This window comes from Homo sapiens, chromosome 7 (genome assembly GCF_000001405.40).
Source record: "Homo sapiens chromosome 7, GRCh38.p14 Primary Assembly".
Lineage (NCBI taxonomy): Eukaryota > Metazoa > Chordata > Mammalia > Primates > Hominidae > Homo > Homo sapiens.
The window spans coordinates 28,035,546-28,062,996 of record NC_000007.14 but is presented as its reverse complement, the minus strand read 5'-3'; the positions used below and the strand labels follow the sequence as shown (position 1 = coordinate 28,062,996).

The following is a 27,451-nucleotide window of genomic DNA, read 5'->3' as shown; positions in this document are numbered from 1 at the left end:
TGTAGTTGGCCAACATTTCAGCTGACATATACATGAAAAGATGGCATATTTTTAATGGATAGAGTAAGTGGTGTATGATGAGGAAAGAGTAGATGACTATATGAATTCAGAAATGAGAATTAAACAGTGTCAGTCTGGGTCAAACGAGGAGACAAAAACCACAAAGGAATTTAAACAGGAAGTTTAGTGTAAGGAATTACTAAACTAAGATAGGAGAGTAACTATAAAGATGTAAAGAAAACTCAATAAGTGCCCTAAGGCTGAAGAAAAATACGCAAGGAAGGACACACTCGGAAGCCACTCCCCAAGGCTGGGTTCAGACTGCTTTGGAGAGGATGTGGATGTCGCTCCCTGTGATGTCACAGAAGTTTGCTGGCTTTGGGGCACAGGCAACCTGAGGCTGGTGGAGAGTTGGAGTATCACGGTGGGCACTTGGAGTATCACGGTGGGCACAAGGCCTGCATGCAGCATGCAGGGTCTGTGTGGGAGGCCTGTGGAAAGGTGGTTACTCAGCCTCAGGACAGGGCTGCGTAGTCACTAAGGGACTGCATGCTCTGCACACAAGACTGGAGCAGAGATGTCCCTATATACATGCACCGCTGAAGGACAGTGAAGCAGCAGCAAGAAAACGTCAAAACACAGTACTCTGGAGCCATTACAGTGTCCCTGCGGCGCCCTCTACTGACAAGGCCTAACACTGAGGTCACTCTAACTAACTAATATTGAGCTCACTCAATCTTAGGCTTTGAGTAAGGAAGAAATGCTTCGAGTCCAGTCCATTATCACAGAGCAGCTATTAAGGGGTGTATTTGGAGTTGAACAGTGATGACCTGACGGTTGGCACAACCCCAAATCCCAGATCCCAGTTTAGCCAGGGGCATTTTGTTTTGTTGTGATAATTTATAAACAAATCAATAGGAGCTCATTTCTCTTGCAGGGTTCACGCTCTACCTTGTAACTGAAGTACTCAGTAAAAAATTCTGTGGTTTTGCTGGGTTTCCCCACTCCGTCCTTCACCGTTAGGCCAGATCCTTTGTGTCCAATCACATTTCTGTATGGCTGTTCATTCATCAAACCTAAATATAAAAATAAAGATTTTCATGGCTGGGCAAAATGTGTTCATGATAATAAGATTGATTTTGATACTTTAAAAATGTTCACATATTAAAATCAAGAAATACCCACTTGTCTTACTAAAGCCAGCTCTTTCAGATTGTATGCATGGTGTATGTCTTTTTACATTATTTGTAATATACTGGGTTTTCACCATTGTAAATACGGCCATTCTGGGCCTGAAAACTCTCCTGGCTCTTATTTGTGTAGCTCTATCTCATAAGGCTTAGTAAGAGCAAGGGATAATCACGTTTAACAAAGCCATTTCTTTTTGCTATTAACATGCTCACCTTTACACTTGATGGCAACAGCTGAATCCCTCCATTAGGCATCATTAAAATTATTCTTTGGGTTATTTTGATTAATGCTTTTTACTTTCATTGTACTCCCTCTTGGTCCTAAATGGTAAGAGCAGTTAAATAGGAGTGTTCAGCGGAGTGTGTCTGCCATTCATTGTTATGCATATATTTATGTGTTTTGTGTACTTTCTTAAACAGAGGTTTCATAAAAATGAGTGCACTGGCAGAAATGTTTATATAAAATTACATTTTGCAGAGCTTGATTTTATAACGTGATCATACAAGAGAGAATGTTAAGGAGTAGAAAGCAGCATCTGCATTGTAAGGTCTCATCATGGTACCACAATCTAATAGTAATAGTAATAATAATGCCTTGTTTTCTTTTGAATGCTGGCTATGGCCAGCCGTATTCTAAGTGCTTTACTGCACTAACTCATTTGATCCTTACAAAAACCCATGTATGAGGCAAGTACTATTCTTGTTCCCATTTTAGAAGTAGGAATATTAAAGCAGAGTTTAAATAACTTCCCAAGGCTGCCTGGCTAATCAGTGCTGTGCAGAAATTTGAACCCAGGCACTAGTTTCAAAGCTCTCATTCTGAACCATTGTAAATCATACTGCCTGCAGGATCAGTGGAAGAGATTTTTTTCAATTGTACTGCCAATGTGACAAGACAGGAAGAAATGCTCAGATGCTAAATACCAAGTGAAATTTGGAAACCCAGAGAGAGCTCTGGAGGCTCTGGACTTTCACCCTGAACTTGCTCTTAGGTTTTTACAACCTCCAGAGCCACAGAAGGAAAACTCTAGGCCCACCCAAGTTGAACTGTATAATTAGCAAAGGCTCCTCCCACCATGGAACTGGTACCTCTAAGCTATATTCTCTTGGTAATGGCAAGCTAGAAAAAAACCTGAGACTCCTCCAAGGAAAATTTTCTGTCTTGAACCTTAGAGCTATGTGGAGGAGCAAAAAATAAATCTCCTCAGAAAATCTGTAACCACAGAACAGCTTGTGGATTTACAGCTGAAATTCACACTAGCTGAATGGTCAGAAAAACATTCAGCTTAGAATCTAATTAAAATGGTACCAGGTTGGTAGTTGCTCTTGTCAGCTAGCAGAAGCAAATGCAGATTCTTTGTGAAGGAATTCTTTATTTGACCATAAAGAATCGTTACAGAATTCCTAAAATACATTAGCTCCCATTCAAAAATCTCAAAACACACACAAAAAATAAATCATTATGAACAAGAGTCAGCAGAATCAACCTGCAAAGACTTCAGGTACTGAATTTATCAGACATAATACATAAAATAAGTAAGTTTACTATGTTTACAAAAATGGAAGAGAAGATTGAAAATATGTCTAAGGAGCAAGAGTATTGAAATAACAAAGAAAATTTGAAAAGCAGATACAACTTATTAACTAAAATATAGAAATTTAAATTAAAAGCTTGATAGGCAATCAATGACAGATTAGATAGAATCAAATAAAGAATTAATAAGCTAGGAGATAAAATTGAATAAAATATTTAGAATGTAGTAGACACAAAAGATGAAAAATATGGAAGGGGGCTAAAAGACAAGGAGAAGAGTGAATTTTCCAGAAGTGATTAAAGATACCAACACATTAAACACGACTAAATGTTTAAAAGAGATCCGTATGCCTAGATATGGCATAGTAAAATAGCAGAGCACCATGACAAAGAGAAAACCCTTAAGCAGTCACAGAGAAAAGACATGTAGCTTTCAAAGGAGCGGTTCAACTAACTATAGTGATGGCAGGGCAGAAAATAGTGGGACAATGTCTTCAGAATACAGAGAGAAAATTAGCCTGTAATTGTTTGCTCAGCCAAATCTGTCTTTCAAAAATGAGGATAAATAAAGCAATTTTCAGACCAGGGAAAGAGGAGCAACATATTTTCATGAAAGGAGGTTCTAAAATACGTACTTTGAGAAGAAGGTAAGAGATCATGAATAAAAAGATAAGAGTTAAAAGAAGGGACAAAAAATAAAGTGGTAAATATGTGGGTAAATTTGAATCAACAGTGACTTTCTTGTGAGCTTAAAAAACCAAAATATGTGTTGTTTATAGCATGTCAGTCAGGAGGTGATTACATATAACATATTACTTAGGAAGAAGGTAAAGAAATTAGTAATGTTTAGGTTTTGATACATTATATATAATTTCAGTCTTTTCAGAATAACCACTAAATTATATTAAATACAACTGGACAAATTATTCCAGTTAAGAGACAAAGATTATCAATCTGGATTTTAAAAAATGTTGGCAGTGTGCTGCTTCCAAGAATCATCTTCACAACACACAAAGAAAAGTTGAAATGAAAAGTATGTAAAATTATATGCCAGGCAGAGTCCTACCAAAAGAAACCTGGTAAATTAATAATGGAATTGAAGGCAAAAATATTATTAATTACAAAGAAGGTCCTAGCAGGTTCCATTTACCAGAAACATCAAACAATTCTAAATGTTTATGTACTTATTATGTTACTACTATCACCCCAAAATATATAAAGTCAAAATTATTGAAATCACAAGGAAAAATAAAACAGTCTTGTTATCATGGGGCAGATTTTAATTTCTTTGTCACTCTAATTGGTTTATCAAGCAGGCAAAAAAACAGTAACACAGTTAGTGTTACGCTTGATGTGAAAGACATATAAAGAAGGCTGCATCCAACATTTGAAGTGGCAGAGCATTTTAAGGGCATGTAAAATACTTGAGAAAATTGACTGCAATGAAAATATTTAAGAAAATTGCACTATAAAATCAGTAACAAAAACTAGAAGAAAACGCATATGTTTGGAAATTATGAAGCATGCATGCACGTAAGTCACAGGACAAAGCAGAGATTATGGGAAAAGTAAAATATTTAGAAATAAATAGTAATGAAAATACATAGAATCTATGTTAAAACTTATGGGATATAGCTGAATAGTACTTAGAAATGTATTGAAGAAAGGCTGAACATTAATGAGATGAAAGCATCTATGCTATACTGTTCCCTGATCAAGTTGGTTAAACTAGGAACTGTGTTTCCCAGAATCTCCTTCCTTGTACAGGAAGGCCAAAAGATGAACTTGTAGGAGACTGGGGGGTAGAATCAGTGAAGCAGTGGCCTTGGTTCTCCAGAATGCTTCAGGGTGAGATGGGATGATGAACAGAAATAGAGGCAGGTGCAGGCAGGTTCTGGCTTGTCCTCATTTTCGTCCTCTCTGCATCTAGCTCTTCTTCCTCTGGCTGGCCACCCCAGGTTCTTTGCTGTGGACTCATAAAAAGTGAGCTTTCCTTAGACCTCTCTGTGCATCCCCCACTTTGTAGGTTCACTTTGGTGTATATGAGCCTGGCTTCTGAGTTCCTTGCATACAAACTCTGACTGGTCCTTCTGCTCCAGGGCTTCAGAAGGAGTGATTGGTGTCCCCACCAGGATCAGTACCACCGCCTTCACTTCCCCAGCCCCTCACACACTGGCAAAGTCTAATTGCTGTAAGCATTCCTCCTGTCACGTCACTGGTAATGGTTCTGCATCCCTGACTGGTACAGCATCCAGCCTCAGTTAGAAAAAATAACCACCTAAAAACCCCTCAGAAAATGGAAGGATATAATGAAACAAGAACTGGAATTAAGTGGAAAAAACTTTTTTACATTAGACAGGATCAAGAAAGCCAAAAGTTTGTTCTTTGAAAAGATGAATAGAGTTGACAAACCTCTGCCAAGATTGATCAAGGAAAACAAAAAGAGAAAAGCCATAAACAAATGATGTTAGTAACTGCAGTTAGGGCAGAGATTTAAATCTAATAAAAGAATATTTTGAACAAAATTTGGGGCCAATACATTTTAAATCTTAGACACAATGGGAAAATTCCTAACTTATTAAAACTGACTCAAAAGCTACAAAGACCTAAGTAGCTTATAACCATTAAAAATAGGAGTAAAAAATCTCTTAAGTTGGGTGATGGGTCATGAAGATTCATTATAACATTCTCTTTACTTTCGTGTATGTTTGAAAAATCTCTGTAATAAATAGTTAAAAATTAAAATCTTTTCATAGAGAAAACACCAGGCCCAGATGTTTTTATCACATAAGATGATTGAGGATTAAATGAGATAATACATATAAAGTACTTACAGAGTACTCGGCACAATATTAAGTGGTCAGTAGATCTTAGCTATTATCACTCTTAACATGCCTTGGGCTTGTTTGCAGGGTCTCTCTTCAACCTATACTGAGGTACAAAAGTAGAGTTTAAAATAGATAATCTCTGAAAACCTCATACAGATAGAGGTTAAGGTCATAAAAGCATTTTTTATGTGCTTTTACAATAGTCAAGCTGAAATCTTCCTTATATTACCAATTCATTTATTTAGCAAATTGTTTACTAAGGCGTGGGTTAAAGGTAAGATTCAGCCTAGCCCCTATCAGGTAAACCCTCTTTAATGTGCAGTAATTTCTGAACTTCAGTGATGAGGGTCACAGCATGATGGATAGCTAGGAACTTGCTTTAATCTTACTTTCTATTATGGAGAAATTCAGAAAAATAGCCAAAATTGTGTCATTGTTCAGGTGTTCCAGAATGAATGTATAGAATTAACATTTTAGCATGCTCTAGAATAGCAGCTCAAAATCTTATCCCCTAAAGACACAAAACATTCTGATATATATGTATTCATAAAGGAGAGTACAGGCAGCCCTCAGTTTAAGAGATGCGTGGGTTCTGGAATATCGTTGTACCTTACTTAGTTCTTAAGTCATGGAGGTGAGGAGCTACAGACTTGGGAAAGGGTTTCAGGAGCAGGGGACAGGAGTGTGTGCATCAGGAATTGTTAGGATGAAGAAGACAAAGAGAAGGGTGGTATGCAGCCACACTGGAGATTGTAGAAGCAGCCTGAGCCCCAGCTGAGCATAAAGCCAGATAGCTCTCCTGATTTCATGAGCTGTGTTTGCTTTTAGTTTAATCCACTAGTTTAGCACTTGTGACATGGTGGATGTGATTCTTAAGGAGGAAAAGGTTTATAATGATTTCTTCTGTGAAATTTCATGCTCACACTCAGATAATACATTCAGTCCAGCCTCAAGAATTTCTTTCTTATTGTGTGTGTGTGTGTGTGTGTGTGTGTGTGTGTGTGTGTGTAGTTGTTGAAATAGTTCAAGGAATGAAGCTGCCACGTGATGTTGCCCTTTGAGTCTTGTAGTTAATTTTTATATGGTAAAGACTTGCGCTCCCAGGAGTCCCATCTGACATGAGGCTGTTCTCTCCTGTCATGTACATGTGGTATGAACTGCCTCCTTTTACTAATTAACTTGCTTCCTTTTATTAATTAGTGCTCATTTATGCTTTAGTTTATTGCGTGCTCCAGGTTTTTTTTTTTAGAGATACTCCCTAAATCATATTCCCCCACCCCTTTATTATTATCTACTCTTCAGTCACTCACTAGATATTTATGGAGCCCCTGCACTGTGAAGACCTGAGCTGGGTGCTTCAGAGGATACTGTGGTGGGTAAGACACTGTCTCTGTTCACAAAGAATGGAAAGCAGAAAGAGAGAACAGGCTACTATGTAGCTGTAGTATCAGGCAGAAGATAAGCACCATAGTACAATGTTTTCTGAGAATTCAAAGGAAGAGGAGGTTGAATCCTGACTATCCTGAGCTGTGAGGCCTTAAACAAGTTACTTAACATCATCAAGCTTCAATTTCCCCATCTGGAATGTGGGGCTTATATTATACGTATTGCTTTGGTGTTTTCAGGAATAGAAATGATCTGTATTAAAGCACAGTGTGTGGGAAACAGGCTCTCCTTCAGGAAAGCTATTATCATCAAATCAGCAAATAATCGTTGTGCATCTACTATGTGCCAGCCGCTCTTCCAAGCCCAAGAGATACATTGGTGAATACAACAAAGAGCCTTGTCTTCGTGAAGCTTACATTGTATGTAGTAAATGATATTAAAACATTATTAATTATCAAATCCATAATAAACAAAGATCTCTTGCTGTTACTATTAGAGTATTCATTTGGAGGAAGCTGGAAAGGTATACATACATATGTTTAACAGTCCAAGATGGAAATTTGGGGAGGGGTGGAGGTAGAGGAGAGGAAATCACACGCACCAAAGTGTGGGCTGGGAGATCTTCATAGGACGGGCTTAGGGAAGGCTGTTGAGGGGTGTTTTGGGCCAGGGCATGTGGCTAACCCTGGAGTGGGGAATGAGTGCCAGGCCAGGGAGTTTATAGACAGTGATAAACCGTGGAGAGCCATCAGGGATTTTTACCCTGGAATATGACTTGATCAGAGTGGAACTTCAGGAATTTTAATGTGTTAGTGATGCAAAAAGGGGATGGGAGGGAGAGAGACTAGACTAGAAGTTGGAGACATCAGGTCATTGCAAAAATTTTTTTTTTTTTAAAACACCTGAAAGGAATGAATTGGAGCCATCCTCTGTCATTTAGTAAGTCTATATTGGGAACTTTTAAAATTTAATTTCTCAAAGTCTTATTAACATGTAGTACACGAATTCTAAGTGTACTTGACTGATTTTTACCCATTGCATAGTTCATCTATAGCCCTGGTAAACACCATCCAGATCGAGATAGAGCACATTGCCAGCACCTATATTGAGAACTTTTACCTCAAAATGCAATGTGAGCGCCATGCACTGTAGCTTGTTTTAGGGAGGGATGGTGTGGGTAAGTCTATGAGGTAAATCCTACCTAGCGCCAGCCGTCTTTTCAGCTCTCCGGTCCATCTCCCTCCCCTTCCTTCCTGAGCAGCCAGTTGCTACATTAACCAGACAGCAGGAAGAAAGGCAGACTGTGTCTACCAGCGTCTGCACCTCTTCCTGCGTTAACTTTTTAAGTGGGATACACGAGGCACATTTACCCTAATGGCCTCGAGCATGAGAGAATCACATATTATACCAGGCCCTGGGTTTCCTAAAGGGAAATGGCAGAAATATTTACAAGTAGCTTTAGTGTGGCCAGAACATACCCAAACAGACTGCAAATAGAGATCCTGTCAGCAAGTGTACAAGGGGAGGCTTCACTGGGTCTAGGGGCATGACTAGGGAGCAAGGGCCCTAGGGTCAGTGTTTTTTGCCATTCTCCCTCTCAAAAGTAATGGTACAGTGTTCTCTTCGTATATAGGAAAGGACCCATTTTCGTTCCAGTGCTGGTGACTGCCTTGCCATACACTAGTTGAATATCCATGTATCAGTTGTTATAAAGGACAACTGGGATTGGTTAAATTTAAAAGGGTAGATTCTTTTTAAGTTGTATCTCTTCAACTTCTATAACTACTATGGGGTCAGTTTTATGCTAGAGCAAATAAGAGAGCCATCCTATTAATAGATAAATGGTATTGATTGAGCAAGAATGATGACTGAAAGTAGTGCTTTGTATATTTAAGTAGATATAGGATTATATGCTCTGTGGAAAATAGAATTTGAAGGTTTTGTTCTACTTCACTAATTGGTTTGAGGCACATTTACTTTTCAGAATGAAGATGGGAAGTTTATACTTGGGGAGGTATATATGCAAAGTGAGAAATAGACAAGGATTCCTACCCTAATTGAAGAAATTGAATTTTAATCCTGGAAGGAGCATAAAGACTAATGGCTTTCCTTTTTTCCTTTTCTTTTTGCTTTATTCAACAGTTTTTTAAAAAGATTGATGCAGAGCTGCTCGGGGTGTGAGGTGGGGTGGGAAAGGTGAGGATGGAAGGGTCCTGTGAGGCCCTCTAGCATCTTCTCAGTATGAGTGGATTCAGCCTGTGTCTTCTTAGCCCCCTCCAGTTCTTTCCGTACCTTTCCACTCCTTTGCTCAAAAGCCAAGTGCCAGTGTTATGAAATTTAAGAAAAGCTATTTCATTTCAAACTCTTATTGGTTGAAATCTGTCATTGGGATCACAACATATTTTGGTTCTTTGGGATACTTTTTGCCATTAATAGGAGGTATGAAAATACTGTTTTATCTATTGTTTTCTTTTGCTATATAGTAGAATCAATTTCTTCAATTATTTCCTGAATACACTCCTGTAAAAGATTTCTTCCTCCTATCTGTGTAATTGTCATAGAATTGGCAAGGATGCAGAAAAATTGGAAAGCTTATGCATTGTTTATGGGAATTAAAAACAGTACAGCCATTATGGAAAACAGTTCCACAAAACATTATAGAAAACATGTTCCTCAAAAAACTGAAAATAGAATTACTGTGTGATTCACCAAACCCACTTCTGGGTATATATCCAAAATAATTCAAAGCAGGGTCTCAAAGAGATATTTGCACGCCGAAATTATTTACGCTATTATTTACAATAGCCAAGGAGTACAAGCAACCCAAGTATCCATCAGCAGATGAGTGGATTAAGAAAGTGTGGTGTGTAATTACAGTGGAATGTCATGCAGATGTAATGAAGGAAATCCTATCACATGTTACAGTATGGCTAACCCTCAAGGTCATTATGCTAGGCAAAATAAGTCAGTCTCAAAAGGACATGTACTATGAGTCAAAGCATATGATGTATCTAAAGTGGTCAAAATCATAGCAACAAAGTAGAAAAGCAGTTGTCAAAGGCTGGGGGAGGAAATTAGTATTTAATTGTATAGAGTTTCCATTTTGCAAGATGGAAAATTCTAGAGATCTGTTGTACAACAATATGAACATACATAACACTGCTGAACTATATACTTAAAAGTGGTTAAGATGGTAAAATTTAATACTATATTTTTTACCACAATCAGAAAAAAAAAAAGCCAGTATCCATACTTGTCGCTGTTTCTTTGGGTGAAAATGATTCCTCATCTTTGTGGATGTCCTATATTCTAAAACTAGGATTCTTAGCTTGGTTTTTGCAAGTTTTATTTTTACATCCTAGTTGATCAGCATATCAAGTAATCACAAGTAACACAAAGATACAAGTTGCTTTGCTCTGCTTAAGAAACTGAAGTGATTGGAGGTGTTGTTTGTTTCTTTGTTTTAATTTGTTGAATACTTCTGCAATTCCTGTTGTGCCAGATGGCTTCATCTTTTTTATGCATTGCTGGAGAAGCCACTTGTAGGTGAGGTCTTGAGTGTAGATTGTCTGCTTTGCACTGAAGTAAAATGATGGGGTCAATAGGGATTGCTTTCTTCCAAAAGTTTTTATAGTAGATTTTTACACCTGCATATCAATTATCAAATTAGCAAACTGACTCCAGAAACTCAAATAAAATGCAAGTGAAGGAGAGACAAAAAGCTATGTAATTTCCTTGGCACTATTCAACTTCTTAAGAGCAGAAGCACCCATTTTTTAATATGAGTAGTTTACAGCTACTCGTGGTTAAATGGTTTATAGGATTCTTTGTAACAAAAGGTGGTCTAATTACCAAGGAGGAGAGAATAATATACCCAGGTTATTTACAATGTGTGACTTACTTAAATTATGATCCTGTTAACTATACAAAAATGACAGAAAACAGAAACATCAGAGCAAATTAAACATTTTGGCTTTTCATTAATGATCTTGAGTATAGGAGGTGTGCACAAGGTTAATTTTTTTTTCCTTTAAACATCACATGAGGCCTGCCCTCAGAGTGAACCTGCAGTTTCAGATTTTATGCATTGGCTTCTAAACAGAAAAAAATGACAGTATTTTTTCTTTTCCACTAGGCCACACTAGAATGTTTAGTTTGTCAGTAAATCACTTTGTAAGGTTTCTAATGCCCGTCTAAATCAATTTTAGGTGTGATTTCTTTCCTTGTGATTTCTGTTCTCTGAGTTACTAGTTGATTTTAATTGTTCTTATTTGCAGGCTTTAAATATTGATGGACTGTGTTATTTATAGCACTGTTTGGTGGCACTGACCTTTGTAGGGAGTTTGCATATGAACCCCAGGACATTTTTTTAGTGGGGAAGTGTGATGGGTGAGGCTTGTTGGGGAGACGCCTTGGTTATAAGTGAAACAGATGAGGGGTATGCAGAAGGAGCTGGAAAAATTAGGTTTCAGGAGCCAGTTTGCAGGAGACAATGCAGAACTTTACTAGATTAGAGCTATTATTTATTGTAAGAATATTATACTCACAGCCGGATGCGGTGGCTGACGCCTGTAATTTCAGCACTTTGGGAGGCTGAGTGGGCAGGTCAAGAGATTTGAGACCATCCTGGCCAACATGGTGAAACCCCATCACTACTAAAAATACAAAAAAATTAGCCAGGCGTGGTGGTGTGCACCTGTAATCCCAGCTACTTGGGAGGCTAAGACAGATCATGTGAACCCAGGAGGTGGAGGAAGCAGAGCTGAGATCACACCACTGCACTCCACCCTGGCAACAGAGCAAGACTCCATCTCAAAAAATAAAAATAAAAATAAAAAATTATACTCACTTAAAATACAGCAATAGTTTCTTAAAAAAAAACAGTTATAGTAGTAGACTTTGTTTTTTTTTTTTTTTTTTTTTTTTTGAGATGGAGTCTTGCACTATCGCCTGGGCTGGAGTGCAATGGTGCGATCTTGGCTGACTGCAACCTCCACCTCCCAGGTTCACGCGATTCTCCTGTCTCAGCCTCCCAGGTAACTGGGATTACAGGTGCACACCACCATGCCTGGCTAATTTTTTGTATTTTTAGTAGTGACAGGATTTCATTATTTGGCCAGGCTGGTCTTGAACTCCTGACCTTGTGATCCGCCCGCCTCGGCCTCCCAAAGTGCTGGGATTACAGGCATGAGCCACCACACCCGGCCATTGTGGTAGGCTTTAATATGCCTTTAGCAGAAATTGACTGAATCAATAACAAAAGAAAGCATATGTAAAATATTAATAACTCGATCAACAAGCATGACTTAATGAGAGTATTTGGAATTCTTTTTTTTAATCCAACAATAAGAGAATGCATATTCTTTTGAAGTACTTAGTGACACTTACAAAAACTGACAGAGACTAAGCCACAAAGAAAATCTCTGTACACTTCAAAAATTGGACACCATGCATAGTCTAAATTCTCCAAATGAGATACAGTGATAGTAGATGTTAGCCTTCCCAAATCTAACAACATGGACGTTTAAAAATACTATTCTTTATAACTGTTGTTGTTGTGGAATACAATTCATATAAGATAAAATAGACCCTATTAAAGTGTACAATTCAGGGGTTTTCTATTCACAGAGTTGTGCAGCCATCAACACTGTCTAAAATCAGGACATTTTCATCACCCCCAAAAGAAACTCTGTGCCCATCAGCAGTCGCTTCCCATTCACTTCTTTCTCCAACCCCTGGTAACCACTAGCCTACTTTCTGTCTCTATGGATTTGCCTTGCGACATAATAAAAATAGAAATATATTGGTTTCTGCCCCTGATGCCTGGCACAGAGCTCCTAAAACCCTTGTAATTTTCTGAGCAATAGGGGTGCTAAATATATCTTTAATTCTAATATTTGGTCTTTGACCCCAGTTCCTGACACAGAGCTCCTCCATCTCATGGAATTTCCTGAGTGACAGGACTATCTGTTGTTTTAATGAGGCAACTCTTGGTGGGCTTCTGAATGGGGCTGGCCACCAGAAAGACCAAGCCATGGTTAGAAGGTTGGAGCTTTCAGCCGCACCTGCCAGCCTTAGGGAGGGGAGAGGAGCTGGAGATTAAATTCATAATCAATCATGCCGATGTGATGAAGCCTCCATAAAAATTCCTAAAGCATGGGGCTCTGAGAGCTTCTGGGGTGGTGAACATAGAAAGGTGCTGGGATGGTGGTGTGCTCGGAGAGGGCATGGAAGTTCTGTGCCTCTTTCCCATAGCTCGTCCAGTGCCTCGCTTCCATTTGGCTGTTCCTGAGTTGTATCCTTTATAGTAAATGGGTAAATTTAAGTAAAATGTTTCCCCTAATTCTGTGAACCATCCTAGCAAATAATTGAACCTGAAGAGAGCTTCCTATTTACCAGAACTTCCTGTTTATAGCCAGTTGTTCAGAAGCATAAGCAGCTACCTGGGCTTTCAATTGGCATCTGAAATAGGGACATTCTTGCAGGACTGAGCCCTTTACCTGTGGGAACTGACACTAACTCTGATTAGTGTCATAATTGAATTGAATATATTGTAGGACACCAGTTGGTTTTTGCCAAGGATTAGAGAATTGCTTGGTGTAAGGGAGAAAACCCCACACATCTGGTGTCGGAAGTGAAGTACTGGAAGTAGTAGAATAGAAAGAAAGGGTTTCCGGCCGGGCGCGGTGGCTCACGCCTGTAATCCTAGCACTTTGGGAGGCCGAGGCAGATGGATTACCTGAGGTTGGGAGTTCAAGACCAGCCTGGGCAGTATGGTGAAACCCTGTCTCTACTAAAAATACAAAAAATTAGCCAGCTGTGGTGGTGGGCACCTGTAATCCCAACTACTCTGGAGACTGAGGCAGGAGAATCACTTGAACCCAGGAAGCGGAGGTTGTGGTGAGCCGACATCACACCACTGCACTCCAGCCTGGGCTACAGAGAAAGAATCTGTCAAAGAAAGAAAGAGAGAGAGAGAGAGAGAGGAAGGGAGGGAGGGGAGGGGAGGGGAGGGAGGGAAGGGGAGGGGAAGGGAAGGGAGGGAGGGAGGAAGGAAGGGAAGGAAGGAAGGGAAGGAAGGGAAGGGAGAAAGAAAAGGTTTCCTCATGCCTCTTCTGGACATTTCGTATAAATAGAAACATGGAGTATGGGGCCTTTGGTGTCTGGCTTCTTTTCCTTAGCATGTTTTCAGGAGTCATCAATGCTGTAACGTGTCAGTACTGGCTTCCTTTTTATGGCTCAGTAATATTCCATTGTATGGTTATACTACATTTTGTTTATCCATTCATCCATTGATGGACATTTGGGATGATTCTACCTTTTGGCTATTATGAATAATGCTGCTATGAACATTCATTTACAAGGTTTTGTGTGAGCATTTTTTACAACTCTTCAGTGAAAGAAGAAATCATAATGAAAATGACAAACTCTTTAGAAGTTAATAAGAATGAGAGTACTTCATATAGGAACCCAGAAGTCTGGCCAAAGCAGTTCTCAGAGAACAAATTATAGTCTTGAAGACATTTATAAGAAAATTGGACAAGCTTTTTGCCAGCATTCCTGGCCTAAAAAAGAAAAGAAACTTAGAAGTGCTGAAAATAAATGGACTAAGTATTCAAATCAATATTTGAGAAAAAGAGCAACTATTATAATAAAGCAAAAAGTCAACTAATTAAGTAATAGCTGTAAGTCCAGAAATTATACAAAACAAGATTAAAGACAAAAACCTAATGGATTTGATTAAATAAAACTAATCTCTTTGAAAACGTTGATAAAATAGGAACACCTGGCAAGCTTACTTGAGGGTAAGAGGGAGATAGAACCAAAGGTTTGTAAAATTTTTCTATGTATCCGTCTTTTAGAAATGAATTTGAAAATTACCAAAAATGACTCAAAAAGGAACATATGAATAGAAAGGAACCACAGAAGAAAGTTGGTCTTTCTTCTGTCTGTCCATCCATGCACCGTTCATTCTAACCAACCATCTAATTCTTTCTGAAAAGTAGCCAAATCTCCTTCCTCCTCAACGATACTAGGGACAGATTTTGTTATTTTACTGGTAATTTGTACACCTCCAAAGCATAGAGAAAGACAGAACACATCCAGGCTTATTCTACAGACTGGTTTAACTCTTGTTATTTAAACCAGACAAGAATATGATCAAGAAAACACGAAACCATCTAATTTATCAATATAAGTGTAAACCAAGTACAGCAAAATACCAGAAAAATAATACTCCGTGGTATTGTAAACTTAGCCTGGGAAAGCAAGGATAGTCCAATATTAGGAAATCAGTGTAATTTGCTTAGTTAACGGCATAAAAGGCCAGAATCCATATGATCATCTCCATATATGATAAATATCAGAAGCAATGGATTAGGAGAAATAAAGCTTCAATAAAGTTGAAGAAAATGAATATTGTTTTCATCTGATATCAGTAACCATATATATAGTATTATGGGATGAAAGGGATACCTTTCACAATTGCATCACAATCTATAAAAATGTAAAAGTAAAATTAACAAAAAACGTCTATGAGATAAACGATAGAAATTTACTGAAGTATCTGGAAAGTGATATTGATAAACAGAGATACATTTCACTCCTGGCTAGGAGCTCAGTATTATAAATTCTCTTCAAATTAATGTAACATTCCTGTGCAATTTCAATGAAATTTTAATAGAATTTCTTTTTACAACTTTAAAGTTTGTTTCTAAAGTTCATACAGGAGAATAAGTAAGCAAAAATATCAAAGAACTATTTTTAAGAAGAGAAATAATTAGAAGGAATATGCCCCACCAGATTTTAAAATATCCTATGGAGAATCCATAAAGAGATCCATGTGTACATGAGAATTTAATATATGATAAAGGTAACTTTCAACTCAGAATAGATGGGATATTTAATATATAGTGTTGAGTCAACTGGCAATCTCTTTGGGAAAATAGATATTTAGATCCCTAATTCATAACATAACTACATTTCAAATCTATAAAATTCTAGAAGAAAATATATTTTTATAGTCATGGAGAAGTCCTTTAAAAGCATGACAAGAAGCCCTGAAGTCTTAAAATGTTTAACAAATTCAATTTCATGAAATTATGGTGAAAGAGACCATAAACAACATTAAAATATGGAGGGCCAACTGGGAGAAAAATATGTGAAACATATGTAACATAAAAAGCGTTAATATTCAAAATTTATACAGAGCTCCCACAAATCAGTAAGGAAAAGACAATGAAATAGATCAATGTTGGAAGGATGTGAACAACCACAGAAGAAATACAAATGACTATTTAACATATCAAAATACTTTCAACTTCAGTTACAATCAGGGAAAACAAATATTGAAATCAGTTTTCATGTATCAGATTGCCAAAAATGAAAATGATTGGCAATGTCCAGCACTTGGGAAGTTGTGTCAGAAAGGACGCTCTTGGAACATTCTTTCTAGAAATGTAGATTTACATAGGCTATTTAGGAGGGTAACACCTATCCAAACTTAAACCATACTATTTTTGACCTAACAGTTCTGCTATACTGCGGACATTCATCATAATGATATTTATAATAGAGGAAAGTTTGGGACAGCCTAAATGTCCCCTAGTAAGGGAACAGATTAAATAAAATTTGGAGTATTCATTATATGTAATGCCATGCAGCCATCTGAAAAGAAAAAGCTAGTTTTCCATGGTTTGACACGGACAGATGCCATATGTCAGCATAAGGGCTAACAAGCCAGGTCTGGAACTAGGTTTGTCATCTACCAGCTGGTTGACCTTGAGCAAGTTGCTTAACTTCTCTGCGCCTCAGTTTGCCCATCAGTAAAAATGGGGCTTTTTGTAGTACTTGGCTCCTAAAGGTTTTGTAGAAACTAAAGAAATAATTCCTGTGTCATGCTGGGCACAGCTGGAAGCACTGAATAAGAAACAGATACAAATATAACAAAAGCATTTACATATTTGCTCATACATTGAAAACATTAGAGAAGGAAACCTATCACAGTTCTTGTAGTAATTAACCTAGGGAGGTGTAGTGGGAGATTAAGGATACTCACTTTTTAACTTTACACTTCTATATGGCTTTCTTAAATTGTTTAATGGTTTTCCACTTTTTAAAAATTTGCAAATGCTATTTTGTAATTTTTAAGGCCAGTAAAATGCTTTTAAACAAGCAATAAAAACAGGCCAGGCACAGTGGCTCATTCCTGTAATCCCAGCACTTTGGGAGGCCAAGTTAGGAGGATCACTTGAGGCCAGGAGTTCAAGACCAGCCTGGGCAACACAGTGAGACCGTGTCTCTACAAAAAGTAAAATTAGCGGGACATGGTATAGCATGCCTGTAGTCTTTATTACTTGGGAGTCTGAGGTAGGCAGATCGCTTGAGCCCAGGAGTTCAAGGCTATAGTGAGCTATGAGCATGTCACTATACTCCAAACTTGGCGACAGAGTGAGACCCTGTCTCTAAAAAACAAAAACAAAATTCTGCTGTGAAGTTCTTCTAATCCACACACTCATTGCACTTTTAACAATTCTGTGTATCCTCTCTAGCCCACTAAACCAATAGATGTTTCTTACTCTGAATATAATCACTCCCCTTTGCCCTAGGTTTTGAATATAGCAGAAAATAAGCATAGTGGTGGAGAAATAGTTTAATCTCAGTTCAGCAGACCTTTTTCTCAAGAGTCCTTAGAAACTCTTCCCATTCCTGGCAGCTTCCCCTTCTTTTGTTATTCAGGTTGGGTTGAATTGGGTGAAGAAGAAAGTAGCCCAGATACTGTCCAAAGAAAGCATATTTTGGATTTTAGGGAAAATGGGCTTCAGGGCACTTAGCCATTCAGCAGCATTTCTGTAGACATACTCCTACCACTCATCCCCATCCCCACCCCCACCTCCTGCCCCTCACCTTCTTTGAAGAAGCAAAGCAAAAGAATTTCTTTTATGCCTCCCTAATTTTCACCTTCCTCCTGGCTTCCTCCCAGCCTTTTTTCTTCCTTCCTGCCTGCCCCTTAGGCTAGGCACTGGTCTCACCTCATTCAGAGTTTAAGAGGATGGTGACCCCTGGTGTCAAAATTTCATCTCTTTTAGGGTTGAACTCCTTCTCATTTGCTTTTCTGGTTGCTGGCAGCATTAAAGGAAAAGCTGAGAATAAAGTCCCAAGAGTACCATATTCCAAATGGGTTGGTGGTTAGTCTTTTGCTCCAGAGTGATTACAATGTCTCTCAATCTGTATCCTCCCCGCATCCCAGCAATTAGGTGGTGTGTAGACACCTAGGAATTCTCTGATGATTATAACCTTTTTCACTGTAACTGTCACACTGTTAGTATCACCAGTAAATGACATCGTTTTTCATTACTATAGCTGCCTCCAGCCATAGAATCAGAAAGGTCATTTTTAATTAAAAACTAAAGAAAAATACATTTTGTGGGATTTTTTTTTCCTTAGAAGAATAGGTTATTAGCTTTCTTTGTAACTCCCACTGTCTTGCTGAACTTTCAAAGAAGGTGGGCAGACTCTTAAAATTTTTGGCATATCACCTCATCAGCTAGGACAGTGCAGACAGTTGGGAGGAAGGGGATCACTCATCCCTGTACCTGCTGTCTACTATGGGATGTCCAGTCCATAGGAACTGCAGCATCCCAGCAAATTATCTGTCAGATGCTAGAGCAGAGAAAATTGTATGATCATCATCTTCATGCAGTTCCCATTTTGCAGGTGAAGACTTTGCTTGCCTTTGTTCAAGGTTCATAGCAAGCTGGGAATGGAGGAAGGAATGAGGAAGAGAGGAATGTTGAGAGGAAGGAAGGAAGGACAGATGGACACTTACTAGCTAAGAAGAGATGAGATATATTTTATGGTCTTCAGTGAGATGAGATATATTTGATGCATTTTTTTTAGTAGAGGTGAAGTTCACATAGCGTACTATTCACCATTTAAACATTTTAAAGGGTACCATTTAATGGTTTTTAGTACATTTACAGTAATGTACAACCATCGGCACTGTATAACTTCAGAACATTTTCATCACCCCAAAAGAAACCTCAAACCCATTAAGCAGTCTCTTCCTACTCCACCCTCCCCCTTGCTCCTGGTAACCGGTAACCTGCTTTCTGCCTCTATGGATCTGCTTTTTCTGGATTTTTCCTCTAAGTTGAATCATACTATATCTGGCCTCTTGTGTCTTGTTTCTTTCACTTAACATAATGTTTTCAAGGTTCATCCATATTGTAGCATGCATCAGTACATCTTTTTTTTTTATGGCTGAATAATATACCACTGTAAGAATATACTACATTTTGTTTACCCATTCATCAGTCAATGGACACTTGGGTTGTTTCCATTCTGGCTACTATGGATAATGCTGCTTTGAACATTTATGTTCAAGTCTTTGAACAATTGTATCCACTCTCTTGGGTATTTACCTAAGAGTGGAATTGCCCGTCATATGGTAATTCTACGTTCAACTTTGTGAGGATCTGCCAGTTTTCTACAATGGCTGTGTAATAATTTTAGAGCAACGTTTAACTCACAGTGTTTCTGAAAACAAACACCAACTCATGTATCCAGCCCTTGTCTAGGCCAGGAGAGCACAAATATGAATAAAAAGTAGCCCCCAAGAAAATGTTGGGGCCGTAAGGTGGGTGGAACATGACGAGCTTAGGGGAGGGTAGTTCACGCTCTGGCTCTCAGAAGAGGCAACACTTGAGCCGAAAGATGCAGGTGATAGGTCACAGAAAAAAACAGACTCACAACAGTTGGCATTCTTGCAACCAAAGAGCTCATGTTCTTGGAGAAAGAGAGCTAGTGGTCCACCATTAACAAGCAGCCATCTTTTGTATAAGGCCATTGGCTCGCCAGTTTATTGGCTTCCTAGTACTCTACCTTGCCTCCTTATGTCACAGTTCATTGTTACAGACTTAGCTTCACCTGTTAATGTGAATCCTCATTCAGTATTCCCATATACTCCCTAGTGATGCTCAGATCATATGCATCTTTTGCAGCAGTTTCAAATCTGTCTTACATTTTTGCAGGATCATAGTACAGCAGGAGACTGTCAGGTAGGCAAAGCACACGTACTTAGTAGAATACAGTCATATATCACTTAACAATGGGAATACTTTCTGAGAAACTATGTTCTGAGAAATGCATTGTTAGGTGATTTCATCATTACCTGAACATCATAAGAGTGTACTTACAAAAACCTATATGGTAGAGCCTGCTACACACCTAGGCTATATGCTATAGCCTATTGCTTCTAGGCTACAAACCCATATAGTATGTTACTGTACTGAATACTGTAGGTGATTATAACACAATGGTATTTGTGTATCTAAACATAGAAAAGGTACAGTAAAAATACAGCATTACAACCTTATGGGACCACCATCACGTAAGTGTTCCATCATTGACCAAAATGTTGTTCTGCAGTACATGTCTATATGTTATAGTGCATAGGAGACAACCAAGACAACAATGTTTTAAAAACAATCCCTCCTGCCAAGCAGTTGGTTAAAGGACAGTTGTTACTTTGGTTTTTAACATAAATTAATTTGCTTTCTGCTTTGGCTTTAGTCTTCACACCTCCCCAGCCTTAACCCATCCATTCTTCAGCTGCTGCCATTTCCAGTGGTCTTTCTAAAACTTGATCATGTCAGGAACCCAACTCCCCCCAGCTCCCCCTCAGACTCAGAATTCTTCTGTGCTTCTCCATTTCCTTCAGGGCAATTGTCCCACTCTAGCAGGAACTCTAAGGTCTTTCTGAATGGAGCTGGCAGTAGTCTCCCCTTCCCTCCCCACACCCTGCACGGTAATCAGATGGGGCTACTTGTTCCACACATCACACTCCACCTTGCCTCTTTCTGTCACAGTTGGCTCCATCTCTTTGAAATATTGTCACCATCTCTCAGCCCTCTTAACGAACTCCTATTGATCCTTCAAAACCTATCCTGTGTGCTTTCAGCACATTCTTCCTCTTGGTTGTCACTGTTTACTTCTGTGCTTCCCCAAGAGGGCTGCCTCTTTTAGGCACCCAGGGCTTTATTTTCCTTGGGTGACCCCACCATCTGTGACTGTACAGAGAATGTGTTTGAGGGCAGCACTTCATAGGGTGATCTAGATCCTTGGTGCCCAGTTCGGCTTGATCTCCTCCTACAGGAGTAGAAAGGAGCCATTCTTTGAAAGTCAAACAGTTGTGGAAATGACTCCCTGCCAGTTTCTTAGAGAACTTAGTCATGAGTAGCATTTGTGGGTATGAGAAATACTGTTTCTGAGATACTCAAGATGAGTATCTCAGACAGCTGCGTACAGGGGAATTCTCTGAAGATTTATTAATAAAAAGTAAGGTGGCCCTTTCCCAAATGTAGTCAAGGAGACTTGGAATCAAGATTGTTAACTCTGGTATGTATTATAGTCATAACCCATCAATGCAAATCATCTGAAGTATGTAGGTCTTGCCCTTAGGCTGATGAGGCTCAGACACAAACATGTCTTGGAAAGTAAAGAGGCACAAGAAGCGGTGATATCTCACTGGCTTCTGGAAGGCTGTGTCTTGGGAAGTAGATGTGGCCATGGAATTCTGTGCTGCCTCAGAAATTTGCATAGCAAGATGTCTAGTTTCATTTTTCCCATACCTTTTAAAAAATGTCACCTTTTAAAAAATAGCTTATACCAAATTATAAACTATTTATCCATCTAAAGTCAAGCTCAAAGCATCCCAAGCAAGGAGGTATAATCATTTGGGCAATCTGACTTGGAAAGAGGGTGAACTTCCCTCCCTCCACCGTCAGCAATATCAAATCATACACACTCGTGCACTCACACCCATGCAGACATGCACAGAACTGGGCTCAAACACACATTCTCCAGGTAAACAATAGTTATTTGTGTTGTGAACCACCCCTAGAAAGCCTTTTGCTCTTACGTTCTCCAAATACTCTCTCTGATTACACACATTTTAATTTTTAAAAAATTTTGCCACATATATCTAGGGCACCCATTTATATGCATTTCTGAAAGAATTTGTGTCTTTGAGAGCACACTGTGTTATCTATGTAATAGAAATAATCTCTGTGGTTTCTAGATGGGTCTTCTTCCTTTCCTTAATAGAACATTAAGGAACATAGTGTCTGCTATGTTGAATTTGGGGCATATTAAATTAAATATTAGCCGATTAAATGGAATATCTAAAGTGATTCTTGGGATAAAGCTTGTTAGAGAATTGTGGTCTTCTACCTTACGTCGCTGCAGTCACTGGCATCCATCTCTGAATTCCATTCCCAATTCCTCTCTTAACTCTGGGCGATCATGGAATTGCTGTACATTAGTGTTTTATCATACCATTCTTTTAAGTGGGTATCTAAAACTCCATATGTCCAAAATACAACTCTTGATCCCACCAAACACACTTCTACACCCCGACACCCTCATCTGCCGGGTGGCCTAGACTCTATGGCTGCCTTCCTCCTCCTCACACCTGTCTGGCTCATTCCCACCTCCCCACTGTGGCACCGTGTATCCCTCTCTCTGAGATGTTTACCCCCAGACTTTGTGTAGCCAACTGCTGATCATTTAGGACTTGACATAAGTTCTTCCTCTTCACAGAGGCCTTACCAGTCACTCTTGATTACATTACTCTTTAATTTTCTTTATAGTACTCATCTCTCTTCGATATTTTCTTACATATTTGTTGTTTGTTATTTTCCCATCTAGATTGTAAACTGCACAAGAACAGGACCTTGCTTGCCCCACTTGGAGCAGTATCTGCCTGGCACATAGTTGGCACTCAACAGATTCTTAAAGGAGTGGGTGAATGAATGAATAAAAAAATGAAACTGGCTTTAGATTTTTTTTATGTGTTTAAAGGGCTCAAACATTATGTAAAATTGAAGACTTCTGACAGTTTAATTCATTTTTAATAAACGTAAGGTTTTTCTTTCATGTGTAAAGAATACCCTTTAATAATACTTTAGGTTTGCATTATCTGGACTCTCAGCATTTTTTAATGTGTAGGAGTCTTCAGTTTGAGGACTTTCTGAAAGGCTAACTTTAATAACATCAGACCTGCCATTTCCACAGGGCTTAGAATAAATTCCAAAATGCCAGAGAAAATTAAATGCAAAAAAGCTCCAGTTAATTAATGTTTCAGAATAAATTAATGCTTTAGGCCTGACTTTAACTGACAAGTATAGTGAATTTCAAAGTTAAAACTGCCACCCTTTCCCCACGTCTGTATTTTGTGCTGTATTCAGTCATTCCAGTTATTTATATCCTTGGGGCGGGGGGAAGGAGACATATACACGTTGAATTTTAAATTAAAGTAAGAAACACAATTACACTGATTATTCTTAGGGGAAAGGGTTTTAGCATTCCTCATAACTCTCTTTAGTTATGCGATAATTCCAAAATTTTCAGAGTTGAGAATGGGTCCTAAATATCTTTACTTGTCCCCAAGATGCTGTAACATACTGAAAAGAAAGGAAGCTAACATTTATGTGTGTAGTGTGTTCCAGGGACTATCTTAGCTTCATATATCTCAGTAAGTCAGTTATAATATTGGTATTTGCATGGGGCAGGGGAGGCACATTTTCATCTTGTCTGATTAATTTCTTACTTATTCTTGGATCTTAGACCATAGAAAAGAATTGGCAAAAACATGTTACACTTCTTTCTGACTTTTTCTTCTTCCTTGTCTTCCCTCTGTCACTTCCTGAACCTCAGTTTCCCCGGTTGCAAGATAAATACATCTATCTCATAAGACTGAAATAATAAGGGGTGTGTGTGTGTGTTTGTATGCACGTGCGCATGTGCGTGTGTTCCCAATATGGTAGCTAATACCAAAGCATTTTTTAAAACATTAGAATGTTCTTGGAGGAGCCCTGCACCAAGGAGGGCTAAGTAAGTCTCCAAGGTCTCTTTAAACCTTAAGATGCTATGAGCTTACGTTCCATATGCAGAGCAATCATGAATCTTTTTAAATTTAGCATGCTTTGCCTCTAATTTGCCACTCTTTATTAATTTGTTAACACAAATATTTTAGTATGCAGGTCTAATCAATGTGCTAAGCATTAAAGTTGTAGAGATAAAAGATAATACCTGCTTACATTCTGCTTTGTTCCACAAAAGAATTTGAGGTAGAGATAAAAGGAACAGTTCATACCTCATCATGAGCATGGTTTTTTGTACAATACTTTATACCAAGCATGGACAGTGAAGCTGAATATGTACTAAACTACCGATATGTTCAGCAAATCTTTTGCTTTAAATAAATTTGTATCTTTTTTGTAGTTTCCTACTTTCTTATAAAAGTCATATGGAAAGGAAAAGCTTCAGCTCATCTGGAATTCTGTTTGGTTGGGTTTTGACTTTCAGTTAATCAAGGATTTGCTGGAGTTATGGGGTGTGTGCATGCTTCTTTTTTTGGAATTTTAGTTATGTGATATTTGCAAGTAATTCTTGGGAACAAGAGTTTCAAACCTGAATGTTCACAAGAAATAACAATATTATAAAAAGCAGATGTTAAACAGTTTTGTTTAAATAAAAAGGAAGATTATCTCTAATATTTGTAAATGCTTGAAAGAAAACAACAAATTCCGTAGTAGAATTTTTATCTTGTCTTCCTTTCTTTAGTTCAGTTATGTAAACAAAATTATATGAATCATGTACTTAACAAGTTCAAGTCTACTTTGGATTTATAGTGTCAGAATCATAAAACCCTGAAAAATGAGCTTATATCTACTAGTTATGCTAATACAAGCACAGTGAGAAGCTATTTGCCACAATCATTCCCCCATCCCAAAGTTTATAGGCTGTATGTTTTCTTTCACCTGAATTACTCTAATATAATATGTTAATGTTTCATTTACCTTGCCAAAAATAGGTTACCCACTTCATGGAAATTCCCATTCTCCTCTGTTCTTTGTATTGTGTTGCATTAGCCCATTGGTTCTGGTATTTTCTTCCTTTGTTTGGTACCATTTGTAAGAATTATCAACTGAGTTTCATGCATTCTCTGCTGGAAGAAAAAAAGCTTTTTATTTTTCCTATTTGAAATTGTGATGTTGGCAATGAAAATTCCAAAATCTCTCTGCCCATTTCTAGTAAAGCAATTTATGCATACATGTGACTAGAGTAGAGAAAAGTGAGTTTGACGTAGAAATTATGAGGAGACATATTACCTGGAGACATCTGTGATAATTCATGCTGTCCAAAAATGGCATGAACCAACTCAGCGAAAGATTCCTTGTTGCTGGGGGTGTCCTGGGTGTCTGGAATTCATTAATAAGATTTGAATAAGGAACCTTTCCATCCACACATCTCTGGATATGGAACAATCCTGTGAATTGGCATTTAGAAAGAGGGTTCATTTTGACCAAGTGTGTTCAACCTGAGCCCAGTTTTTAATAAAATGGAGATGAAATAGACACATACAAATAAAACTGTAAAAATTCCTTCCCTTTCTTTCACACGAGGAAAAAGAGGCTCTGAGAAGTGAAGGGACCCGTTCAAAGCCGCACAGCTAGTTACTGATCTGGGGAATAAGAACTCAGATCTCATGACTCACCTCTTCCACTTTTATCTCACTATGTCCCCTCTTTTTCCCTGAGTCATTTTCAGAATGTTTTACATGAGTCATAAAACTCGACCAAGGTTAAAATGGGGCCTGCTAAACTCTTATAATACTACACAGATGAATCATGTCAGCATTGCTTGAGAATTTTATTAAGACAGGTTTAATTGGTCCTGCCTGGAAAACTGAAACATAAAACAAAGTCACTGATTTCTCTGACTGTGCAGATCTCTTGGATGTGCTCTTTAAATTCCTCTGCTTCTGTATCTCATTGCTGAGGACATTTGCAAGAAAACATAATATTTATTGTGTTTGAGTACATCTAGTCTTGCTGCTTTTTCTTTTCCTACATCATAATTGTCTCTTTTCAGGCAGAGGTGGACAGTTAAGCAAGTTCTGCACGTACCCAAATAAACTCTGAACAGATTGATTCCCTCTGCACCCCAGTAAGGGTGTGCTCCACTGTGTTCCCTTGTCCCCAGGCCCAGATTCTTCCTAAAGTAAACTGGGCCACTGAACTGTGCCCATTAGTGAGCCAAAAGATTGGCATCTGCTGTACCTAGAGGGAGTTTGTTCTGTAGATGCCAATGGGCTGCCGTGAGGGTTGCTGGTTATTCACTTTCTCTGGTCTTGCTATGTGCATTCTTTGCAGATGTTTCTCCCCATCCCTGACCATACTTTCCTACCTTCTCCAGGAGCACAGCCTCACCCCCAACATCCCATACCCCTGAGTGCCCAGGCAGGGTTAGGAACCTCTAGGTGTCTAATAAAGGGAGGTAAAAGCCACTAACCCACGTTAAGAAGGTAGCTTTCCCTCCTTTCCTCTGTTTGGCACAAGGCATCATGGCATTTGGGGCAGGCCCCAGAATAATCTGTGTGCCATGAGGAAGCCCAAATGTCCTCCAGAGATGACCCTACCTCCTCCAGTGCGAGCCTTTTTCAAGATGCTCTGTGTCCAAAGCTGCCTGCAGAGTGAGGTTGCGTTACTCTACCACTTCTATTTGCATCCTCATTGTTCCCCCCAAAAATGAGTGAAGACTATGGCACCAGATGAAGAATAAACAAGGAAAACAACTTCAGGTTATTAATATTTTCAAATAATATGCATGCTCCCAATAACTGTACAAAACATAAGAAAAAAATCACTATAGAAGTCAGATAGGTTTTAGTTTGTTACTATGTCAGTAGTTTGTTAATCAGTGTTTATCAGACTGACTCTAACCTGAAGTTTATTCTAGGCAGGGCTGCTGTCCTGGTGGACTTGAATGTATAATGGAATCATAATTATTGCAGAGTGCTGCATGTTAAAATGACTGGTTGGGGGAAGGTGTTATTTACTTGTATTTTCCCCCACAGTTGTTACATATTAGTGCATCAAGACAAAGAAATGATTATAATTTACTGAGTAAAGTTGCAAAGGTCCTTGGCAATCATCTCACATACATGTACTTATAGAGAGGCTAGAGCTACTCCATTGGACTTTATGTATGTTACATTGTTAGAAAAAAAGATAAGGTCTTCCTGCTGAATTTTCACAAATATATCTTCTTCCACTTAAAGATATTATTTGACAATTGCATTTAATTTTTCTCCTTTATTTTCATGTATTTATTGTCATACATGTCTATGGTCTGTTCTCAGGGTTTCAGGTTGCTGTTGCTTTAGAATTGAAATTGAGAATTGTTCAGGACAATGGTTGAAAGCTTTGCTGGGTTTTGAAAACCCAGAAGAAATATTAATCGGGTGTATATTTTCTGGTTTACATCTTGTCACTCTGTGTACTCACTAATGAGTACATGTTAACAATTTCTATGCATGCCATAATTTCTCTGCACTTTATCCTCCAGCTTACTCCTCTCGTCCAGCCCTTCCCAAAAGTAAAGCAAGGAACCACAATCATCTCTCCTGCAGTCATCCATTAGGAGAAAGGGCTCTACACCAAAATTGA

At 38.5% G+C, this 27,451-nt stretch overlaps 1 protein-coding gene and 1 long non-coding RNA gene across 5 annotated transcripts in view, besides 1 other annotated feature; one reads left to right on the top strand and one right to left on the bottom strand.

Annotated features, from left to right (window-relative positions):
- Positions 1 to 27,451, top strand: part of JAZF1 (JAZF zinc finger 1) — a 350,219-nt gene that overhangs the window by 117,799 nt on the left and 204,969 nt on the right. The gene's annotated exons all lie outside the window — the stretch shown is intronic.
- LOC105375208 (uncharacterized) lies at positions 783 to 25,481 on the bottom strand. Of its 2 annotated transcripts, none has more exons than XR_001744910.3 (4): positions 25,112 to 25,481; positions 24,800 to 24,948; positions 5,559 to 5,650; positions 783 to 1,076 (listed from the first exon to the last, which is right to left on the bottom strand). It is a non-coding gene; the product is annotated as an uncharacterized LOC105375208 (long non-coding RNA). The 2 variants fall into 2 exon arrangements; XR_007060267.1 differs by lacking the exon at positions 783 to 1,076 and adding an exon at positions 1,440 to 1,511.
- Positions 24,896 to 26,095: an enhancer, noted in NCBI's record as "MED14-independent group 3 enhancer chr7:28076521-28077720 (GRCh37/hg19 assembly coordinates)". NCBI's record gives its function as "activates an origin of replication core promoter dependent on BRD2, BRD4, P300/CBP and CDK7 cofactors, and independent of MED14, by STARR-seq in HCT116 cells {active_cell/tissue: HCT116}" and the evidence as "EXISTENCE:reporter gene assay evidence [ECO:0000049][PMID:35650434]".